General features: G+C 45.5%; 2 annotated features.

Moving 5' to 3' along the window:
* Positions 1,406-1,926: an enhancer, noted in NCBI's record as "H3K4me1 hESC enhancer chr21:34524357-34524877 (GRCh37/hg19 assembly coordinates)". NCBI's record gives its function as "activates a minimal SCP1, AML or CMV promoter by ChIP-STARR-seq in naive H9 embryonic stem cells {active_cell/tissue: H9 hESC(naive)}" and the evidence as "EXISTENCE:reporter gene assay evidence [ECO:0000049][PMID:30033119]".
* Positions 1,927-2,446: an enhancer, noted in NCBI's record as "H3K4me1 hESC enhancer chr21:34524878-34525397 (GRCh37/hg19 assembly coordinates)". NCBI's record gives its function as "activates a minimal SCP1, AML or CMV promoter by ChIP-STARR-seq in naive H9 embryonic stem cells {active_cell/tissue: H9 hESC(naive)}" and the evidence as "EXISTENCE:reporter gene assay evidence [ECO:0000049][PMID:30033119]".

Genomic DNA, 10,064 nt, shown 5'->3' on the forward strand with positions numbered 1-10,064 from the left:
ATAACCCCAGCCCACCTCCCCGGGAGTCGAAGCCCCAGGGTCTCGGGATGCCCCATCACTGGGGTATTTGTCCGGTCTCTTCCCCTAAAACTGGGAAGTATTTTTTGCCTAGAGATTTCTAAGTCATGTCTGCTTATGAGTCCTTTCCTGCTGGATGAAGGAATGGAAAGAAATAAGGAAAACCTGGGATGAACCTAGGAGGGACGTGGCACCAGAGAAAAAGAAACAAGAATGAGAAACGCAACACCCAAAAGGCTCAAGTGTGGAATTAAGGGTGAGACATATGGCTTCGTCGCCACAGATTTAGCCAATGGATAAAAATATGCCCCGAGACAGGTTGCAGCAATGTCTCCTCACTCCCCCATCTCTAAGATTCCAGAAAGAAACCAAAACAAATGGAAAGTCAAAGCCTGCCCTGGAAGGCTCGTTTATTTGTCTGTTTGATTTTTAGAGACAGGATCTCGCTCTGTTGCCCAGGCTGGAGTGCAATGATGCAATCATAGATCACTGCAGCCTCAACCTCCTGGGCTCAAGTGATCCTCTTGCCTCAGCCTCCTGAGTAGTTGAGACCACAGGCACACCACCATGCCCAGCTAATCTTTTCATTTTTTGTAGAAACAAAGTCTCACTATGTTGCCCAGGCTGGTCTTGAACCCCTGACCTCAAGAGATCCTCTTGCCTTGGCCTCCCAAAGTGCTGGGATTACATGTGTAAGCCATGATACCCAGCCTACACTACAGTGCCCAGCCATGTGTGGGTGTTTTGTTGTTTTGTGGGGTTTTGTTTTCTGTTTTTTGAGATGGAGTTTCACTCTTGTTGCCCAGGCTGGAGAGCAATGGTCCATCTCGGCTCACTGCAACCTCCACCTCCCAGGTTCAAGGGATTCTCCTGCCTCAGCCTCCCAAGTAGCTGGGATTACAGGCATGCGCCACCACGCCCTGCTAATTTTGTATTTTTAGTAGAGATGAGGTTTCACCATGTTGGTCAGGCTGGTTTCAAACTCCTGACCTCAAGTGATCTGCCCGCCTCTGCCTCCCAAAGTGCTGGGATTACAGGCGTGAGCCACTGCACCCGGCCGTGTGGGTTTTTTAATAAACCAAGTTCTGAAATTAATGCCATCCTTTCTAACAGAGAGAGAAGGAAGGAAAGGAGGGAGGGAGGGAGGGAGGGAGGAAGGAAGGAAGGGAGGGAGGGAGGGAGGGAGGGAGGGAGGGATATACCCTGAAATGGAAAAGGCAGGGTGTTGTGAATTGCTTCCAGAAGAGGTTTCAGAACTGTTACCCACCCGAGTCACCAGCTTCAGAAAAGGGCCCGTTCCTCCAGACTTCCCCAAAGACAACCATCGAGGAGAGGGTAGTCGTGTTGATTAAACCCCAGAGAGCCAAGAGAGCAAAGCCACATTTTGCCGGAACACAGCACCTCTTACAAAGACACCTCCATTCTTTTGGTTTCCTCCACAAATATATCAAGTGATTTTTGAGGAACTAGCTGCCACTGGCTTTCTTCCTAAGTTTTGACGAAGAACAATTTATGTCTTCCCAGAGCTCACGCTTCCGCCTCATGCGCAAAGCCTTAAAATGTCCTTCTGCATAATTTGCTAACCCCAGCACCTGTGCCTCATCTCAGCTTAATTCTGCCCACGATGCAAAACCCAAAGAGCCCTTCTTTTCACATCTTGCCTGCCTGCTACTGGCTTTCGGGCTCCCCCTCCTCAGCGTCCCTCCCTGGACGTCACTCACTCACTGCCTTTCCCCCCGCTCGCCTCCTCCAGCCTGGGAACCCGAGGGGCCTAAGTCTAGGCTGCTTCCGAGAGCTGGCAGATTTCAGAGGAAAAAAAAACACACGAGAAAGAAAGAATGGCAGTTTGACACTGCACTGTCACAGTTAAAATGGGCCCTGCGCGTGACCCAGGCTTGGACACCGAGGCCTCGTGCCCAATCACAGCTGAGGCTGCATCTGCCACGGTTCACGGACCCGCCGCTCCATGCTGGGGGACCAGATGCCTCTGTTTACGCCGCTCTCCTCCCAGCCTTCTGCCGGCCGGTCGGCAGCAAGACAGAGCCCGGGAGCCCGTCACTGGGCTTCAGCTGTCTCCCCAGTCTTGTCTTTCAATATATTCTCTCCTCTACCCCTTTTTGTCTCCACACCCCCTTCCCCAAATGGCCAGAAGGGGTATCCCTCTTTTTCAAGTTTGACCCAATAGAACAAAGCGGAGAAAGACTAACCAGGGCGACTTTGATTCCTGCCATCCTCGAAACAACACAGTGTTCAAAGATCAGGCCGGCCCGGCGCGGTGGCTCAAGCCTGTAAGCCCAGCATTTTGGGAGGCCAAGGTGGGCGGATCACTTGAGGTCCGGAGTTACAGACTAGCCTGGCCAACATGATGAAACCCGGTCTCTACTAAAAGTATAAAAATCAGCCAGGCGTGGTGGTGCGCTCCTGTAACCTCAGCTACTCGGGAGGCTGAGGCAAGAGAATCACTTAAACCCAGAAGACAGAGGTTGCAGTGAGCCGAGATCATGCCACTGCACTCCAGCCTGGGTGACAGAGCGAGATTCAATCTCAAAAAAAAAAAAAAAATCAGGCCAGCACATCACCATCACCCCATTCTGTTTCTCCACCATCTTCCTGCTTTAAATGTGTCTGTGAGTGCTGGGAATATGGACATTGGAAAACCAAGTTGAGATGCCAGCATTTAACCTTTTCAGTTTTATAAAATTGACCCATTTTGCTGGAAGTTGAGGGCTGGGAGAAGGAGTGACAGGTTTAAAGCCAGCAGTTCACTGCCATCTCTTAAAGGCCCTCAAAATGGATTTGGGGTTTATCTCTTAAGAGACATCTGGGGCACGATTGCCACTCTCTTTTCTTTCACTGACCCTGCAGCTCAGGACTTGCGCAGAAGGTATGTGTGGGCATCCCTCCCAGACAAGGGGAGTAGAGCACACAGAAGAAAGTGTGTTAGTCCCCAGAGGCCAAGTGAATTCATGTCTGGGTGCAGAGCAGACCAAGGGCCAAGGGTTGCCCCATACACAGTCTCCCCTGCAGCACCGAGGAGCATCTTCAAAGCAGACCCAGCTGCCCGTTCTCTGGCTCCCAAAGCACCACACCTTTGGCCAGAGAAGGGAAGAAGGGAAGTTTCCACCGACAGGCTCTCTCATTGCCAAAGGTGATGGCTGTCCTTCACATGCCAGTGGCCATCCTTGCTGAGGACTCACGCCCTCATCACGGGTACTGAGCACTGCCTCTCCATCACTGTGCTTGTTCTTGGAAGCATCTGGGATTCGCTTCCTCTCCTCACCTTTCCCTCCCCCAAAGCTCCCCGCATCACACCCCCAGCTCCTGCCACTGGACACTTCTCTTTCCAAAATTGAGCTTCAGAATGAACTTTGGCCTAGAAATTATATGACCCACCGTAACAGGTTCTACAGGCTATGCTAAATTCTTTCTGGGCTGGCCTGGAATTCAAACAAACATGTGGGGCTGGGTCTTAGGGGTATATGCTGGTAAATGAATCGGGGGCCCCTGCCCTCAAGAAGTTCACAGCTACACCAGCAAGATTGTCACCAATTCATCAAAATACAATGTGGCAAGTGGTACACATTGAGAATTACCATGGGGATGCCAGGTGCAGTGGCTCACACCTATAATCCCAGCACTTTAGGAGGCTGAGGCAGGAAGATCACTTGAGGCCAGAGATTCGAGCCTGCAGTGAGCTATGATTGTGCCACTGCACTCCAGCCTGGGCAACAAAGTGAGACCATATCTCTACAAATTATATTAAAAATAATTTTTGACCAGGCACAGTGGCTTATGCCTATAATCCCAGCACTTTGGGAGGCCAAGGTGGGTGGATCACTTGAGGTCAGGAGTTCGAGACCAGCCTGGCCAACATGATGAAACCCCATCTCTATTAAAAATGCAAAAATTAGCCGTGCGTGGTGGTGGGCACCTGTAATCCCAGCTACTCAGGAGGCTCAGGCAGGAGAATCACTTGAACCCAGGAGGCGGAGGCTGCAGTGAGTTGAAATCTCACCACTGCACTCCAGCCTGGGTGACAGGGTAAGACTCTATGTCAAAAAAAAATTTTTAACAAAATAAAAATAATTTTTTTATAAAAGAAACAAAATGCTGGGCAAGGTGGCTCTTCTAGCACTTCAGGAGGCTGAGACAGGAGGATCACTTGAGGCCAGGAGTTCAAGACCAGCCTGGTCAACATACTGAGATCCCCCATCTCTACAAAAAATTCAAAAATTTTGGTGCACCTGTAGTCCCAGCTTCTCAGGAGGCTGAGGTGAGAGGATTGCTTGAGCCCAGGATTCTGAGGTTGCAGTGAGCTATGATTATGCCACTGCACTCCAGCCTGGGTAAGAGAATAAGACTCCATTGGAAGGGAGGGAGGGAGGGAGGGAGGGAGGGAGGGAGGGAGGAAGGAAGGAAGGAAGGAAGGAAAGAAGGGGAAGAAAAGAAAGAAAAAGAAAGAAAGAGGGAGGGAGGGAAAGAAGGAAGGAAGGAAGGGAGAGAGATAGAGGGAAGGAGGGAAAGAGAGAGAAAGAGAGAGAAAGAAGAAAGAAGGAAAGAAAGGAAGAGAAAGAAAAAGAAAAAGAAAGAAAGAGAAAAAAGAAAGAAAGAAAGAGAAAGAAAGGAGGGAGGGTGGGAGGGAAGGAAGGAAAGAAGGAAGGAAGGAAGGGAAGGAAAAGATGCTGAGAAAAGGGCAAATAAATTCCGCCTGGGCTCAGTGAGGGAAAGTTTCATAGAAGGGTGACATTTGAGCTGAATCTTGAAGAGTTTAAAAAAAAAACACACACACATGAGGTGAAGGCATGGAAGAAAACATGTAGAAAGAAGGAAAACCCATCATTCTTTCCACTACTGAGCACACAGCATAAGCCAGACGTGGTAGTAGGTGCTGGAGACTCTGACATACGCAGGAAACTATGGGCGTGATGGTATTTTATTGAGGAATATGCTGTGAATGCCATGTGGCAATTTAGCAAATGAGGCTCTGAAAAGCAGCTCGTTTATAACTTGGCAGTTACTGACATGTGAATGTCAAATACAGACATGCACTTTGCCACATTTAGTCCTTCAGGGTTCGCTGGGACCAGCATGCATTCCACAGGAAACAAAAAAAGAGATCCAGAGGGAAAACGTGTTGCTAATCCAAGTATTTGAATAATATTTATCATGCGTGGAGTACATGCAAAGCACCTACTGAATGCTCTTTGTGAGTTAAAGAGGTTGGCAGATTTGAGTTTATGCAAACCAATATAATATGACAACATGATATCATTATGTCTATTATATTTATAGAATTATATTAACTTTATGTTATGTAGTTTTGCAAACAAGGTCCTGTCTATAATAATAGCAATTTTATTTTATTTATTTATTTATTTTTTAGACAGAGTCTTACTCCATCACCCGGGCTGGAGTATAGTTGGTGCCGTCTCGGCTCACTGCAAACTCCACCTCCCAGATTCAAGCGACCCTCCAGCCTCAGCCTCCTTAGTAACTGGGATTACAGACATGCACCACCACATCCAGCTAATTGATAACAGTAATTTTATTTATTTATTTATTTGACAGAGTCTCGCTCTGTCACCCAGTCTGGAGTACAGTGGCATGATCACTACAACTTCTGCCTCCTGGGTTCAAGCAATTCTTCTGCCTCAGCCTCCCAAGGAGCTGGGATTATAGGTGCGCACCACCACACCCAGCTAATTTTTGTATTTTTAGTAGAGACAGGGTCTTGCCATGTTGGCCAGGCTGGTCTTGAACTCCTGATGTCGGGTGATCCACCGACCTTGGCCTCCTACAATGTTGGGATTACAGGTGTGAGCCACCATCCCCGGCTGATAATAGTAATTTTAAATACTCAACACAAATATTATTTTTAACCCCTGCATCTTCCTTCAGATCTGAGAAGTTTCTTGAAGACCATCAGCATCTTCAGTGGGCGACTGGAAGATACACTGTGGTTACCTGGGAGGCAGCCCAGCCTGGACCAGCAACCCAACCTGCTTCTTCAGAGCAAAACAAGAACTAGGAATCATCTTTTCACCTGGGAAGGAATCAAGTAAAAAGCAAAATTGAACTAAAGGCAAGGGTGACATAATTTGTATTACATATAAATGACCAGAAACCACTGGTGGCCACAAAGTTTTACTTTGAGCTAATAAAACATATGCATGCATCTAGTGTAAATCTAAGAGTCTAAGGATGTTACAAGCCTGTTAAAGACCCTATTAACTCCATTCTTCCTAGATTTCCAGTATATTCTTCTTCTGAGATGTCACTTTGCAAATTTAGTTTTAACCTAAAATGTTTTAGCAAAAAATGGTGAACATATTTTGGCAAGATGTCATTCATATAGTTTAAAATAGTGCTTTCTAGGTATGAAATGACATCTGTGAGAGCCCCACCACTCACAAACCCTAACACACACTTTCCCTTTTGAAAATAATTTCGTATCTGAGTCACAGCTCCCTGCACATGCTTAACTTAAAGTGACTCCAAAATACGCCATAAATATTAACTAATTAATCCCCATGACAACACAGGGAAGCCCTGAAAAACTCTGGAGAGTGCCCATGGCCTGGGCAGCAGTGCCACAGCTTGATTTTTAAGAATCTTGTTCTTTCTAGGCTTTCTCTGATCAGGACATCCCTTATTGCCTTCAAAAAACAAGACAAAACAATGACAACTCAAGAATGTGGCAGTGGTGACTGCTGCTGCTGCTTCCCTTCCCTCCTCCTCCTCCCTCTTTCTCCTCCTCCTCCCTCTTTCTCCTCCTCCTCCCTCTTTCTCCTCCTCCTTCCTTCCTCTCTCTTCTCTCTCTCTCTCTCTCCTCCGCCCCACCCCACCAAAAGCAGAGCTGTTTATCCTTGGTGTTGACTATCAGACCCCGAGCTTGTAATTCAGCACCAAGGACACCTCTCATGCTTTTGGAAACTGCTAGACAGTCTACCCTGTTATAAATTAAAGCTTTGGTTTAAAGATCACCACGAAAACCAGCCCACCAAGAAAAGTATTCCCTGCCTCAACCATAATTGCAGTGATGACTTTCAGGCAAAAAAGTATATCTATATCTAATTATCTATATGTATTGTAATTATATTAATTAATATTTTAATTTATTTTAATTAATTCATAAATCTTAAATATAATCCATACTAAGCAAATGCCTGCTGAATGTTTGTATTTATAGTATAAAATAAAAGGCTCAAATGTCCAGGTGTTTGGGACCTCAGGGAGTGGCTGAGACCACATGGTCTTCATTTCACAGATGATGGAGCCAAGCTCCATTGAGACGATGGCATCTGCCTGGATTCCAGGAACTGGGGACTATTTTCTACCGACCACTCCTTCCATTATGTCTTTCACTAATATTAGGAAATCAGCCTTATGCTACAAGTGTTTTTATTTCCCTCCTGAGAAGCTTTCCCCTGTTGATAATTTTTTTCGAAAGCAGGTTTTTGAAAGAACATCTCCTTAGGGATTTATTATAAGTTAGCAACTTATGAAACTTTTGTATCCCCTTCACCCAGCCCCCACTTGTTGTTTATGCCCATTTTGCTTTAGAAGATAATAGGTCTTTTAGCTAACGAGCCTCTTGTTAAAAAAGGTAACATAAGTTAGAAAAGGTAAGGTCAAGGGCAGACCTGGGAATAGAAAGAGTGAGACCAAGAGAAACAAATGGCTCTGCATAATAATAATTAAAAAGTAGGCGCTTTCAGTTTTCTTTGGGTTGGCACAAAAGATGGGCATTACATTGAGAGTAATAACCTGAGAATTTTGGAGGTGGACAGGAACTTCATAGGAAGAGTAAAATCCCGGAACCCAGGAGCAGGCTGGGGCCAAGGGCAGTGATGGCTGGTAAAGGATGCCCCATGATGAGTTTAAGAGATCATTTTCTCAAAGTGGCCACAGCAATATCTCCATGCCTACAAGCTCTTCCCAAAAGGTGTCACTTTCCATCAATAGGTGGAGAGTAGGGATCAACCCCTTGAACTTGGGCAGGACTTTTTACTGCCTTGACAAGCAGAATGCACAGTGGAAGTGATGCTACATGATTTCTGAGGCTAGGTAAACAAAAGCAATACAGTTTCTGCCTGACTCACTCTCTCTCAGGTTGTTTACCTTTCAAACTTGGTGGCCATGTTGTGAGGAAGCCCAAGTGACATGAGGAGTTCCCGTGGAGGTGTGCTGCTGACAGCCCCAGGTGAGAGCTCAGCCAAGAATCAGCACAACACTGTGAGTGCAAACATGTGAGTGAGTGAGCTTGCAGAGGATGTGATCCCACCTAGGATGTCAGCATTCAAGACACCCTAGCTGACACTGAGTGAGTATAGGTGAAGAACATTTACAACAGTGATAATAGAAAACTTGTCATAAGTTTTTAATTTGTGCTGTAATTACACTCTGATATTCCCAAATCTTCAATAAAAATCCATTGTACAGTAAAACTTCATTAGCCTTATGTTGGAAATGGTTAAGAAATGAAGGAAAGGGACTGTGTCCATGTTGGGGCAGAGCAGTAGGAAAAGGGTGGCAGGCAGTGTAGCAATGAGGAAACCCTCAGATGTGATGGAGGGAAAAGCTAGGGGCTAGGGTGGGGAAAGAGGTGACAGGCATTAACCAGTGGAATGCAAGCTCACCCCACTCCCACACCTTCACACACACACCAGAAATTTTCAGAAGCAATGAGAAGGAGACTGGATTTCTTTTGAAAACAAGTTTTTAAACTACTGGCTTGGGATGCAATATTGCCAAGGTTTCTGCTAAAAGGTAGCCATATTACTTGAAAACAGAAGCACAAAACAACCACTGAATACACTGGATTAAGTGAACGTACTAGAAAACCACTACCTGGTAGGAAGAATGGCTCTGGTGTGGAGGAGTTACTACAAGCAGGTAAATAAATTTTTAAGGAAAAAGGGGAATTTACAAATTAAAATCAGATTTGGTTCCCAGTAAGAAACCCAAAATAAATCACTTACAAAAGATATGTTTATTTCCATCATGTGGGACTCTGAATTCAGACATTCCAGTAGGGGAATGGCTTCTCTATCATCCCCTAGGATCTATGCTATTTCCAGTTTTCAATTATGCCATTTCTGGAGTATAGCCTTCATCCTCATGGTCCAAAATGGAGCTCCAATCATGTGTACACATTGCAAGCAGCAGGTGGGAGGAAGGAGGAAAATGCATGAGGGATCTCAGCCAGTAACCTCTTAGAGAAGGTCCTTAGGAGCTATAATTCTTGCTTACAAGAGTTGGACCTGACCAATGGGCCAACAATTAGTCACATGACCACACCTAACAGCAAAACAGGCTGGAAAATGTAGTCTTACTTCCAGGAAGTCACACACCTGCCAAGAGTCAGGAGTTCTAAGGGGTGAAGAAAGGCTTTTTAAGCGAGGCAACCAACCACCTCTGTCCAGGTGGCCAGGAAGATTAAATGTCCAGGTGGTGTTACATACAGCTCAACCCTTATCCTACAAAGCATAGTTTCTCACCCACCACAGCCAAGCGAAAGTCATCAAGTGTCTCCTGTTGTTTCCCACGTTCTAAAATTGGAGGAAAGTTATTGCACAAGTGCCTAAGTAGTGCAGCTGATCCATCTGGAAAGGCTGTTCTTAAACCTTGGCTTAAAACACCTCCAAATTCCTTAAACAGCATAGCAAAATCAAGAACATATTTTCAAAAGACAATTTAATCAATATCTCTTACATTGAAACACACACACACATATATACACGCGCCTTTTATAAATACATATTTTATAGCACTTTTAGAAATGGGGGAAATGTCACGAAACAAAACATCAAGAAGTGAGGGTCACAACTCCATGATGGCAAGAACCACTGCTTCAGGAGAAAACAAAATCTGTTTTGGTTACTCACTTAAATACCAAAAGTCTGACCAAATCGAACTGCATTTGAAATTTCTGGTGGCCGTTTGCCTTGGATTTTTGTAAATTTTGATTCACTCACCAGTCCTATTTTGCCTGTAGCATAGAAGAAAATGTAATAAAGCAAGAAGAAGGTCTTTGAAGAGCCATA

The sequence above is a fragment of the Homo sapiens genome, chromosome 21, assembly GCF_000001405.40.
Source record: "Homo sapiens chromosome 21, GRCh38.p14 Primary Assembly".
Taxonomy (NCBI): domain Eukaryota; kingdom Metazoa; phylum Chordata; class Mammalia; order Primates; family Hominidae; genus Homo; species Homo sapiens.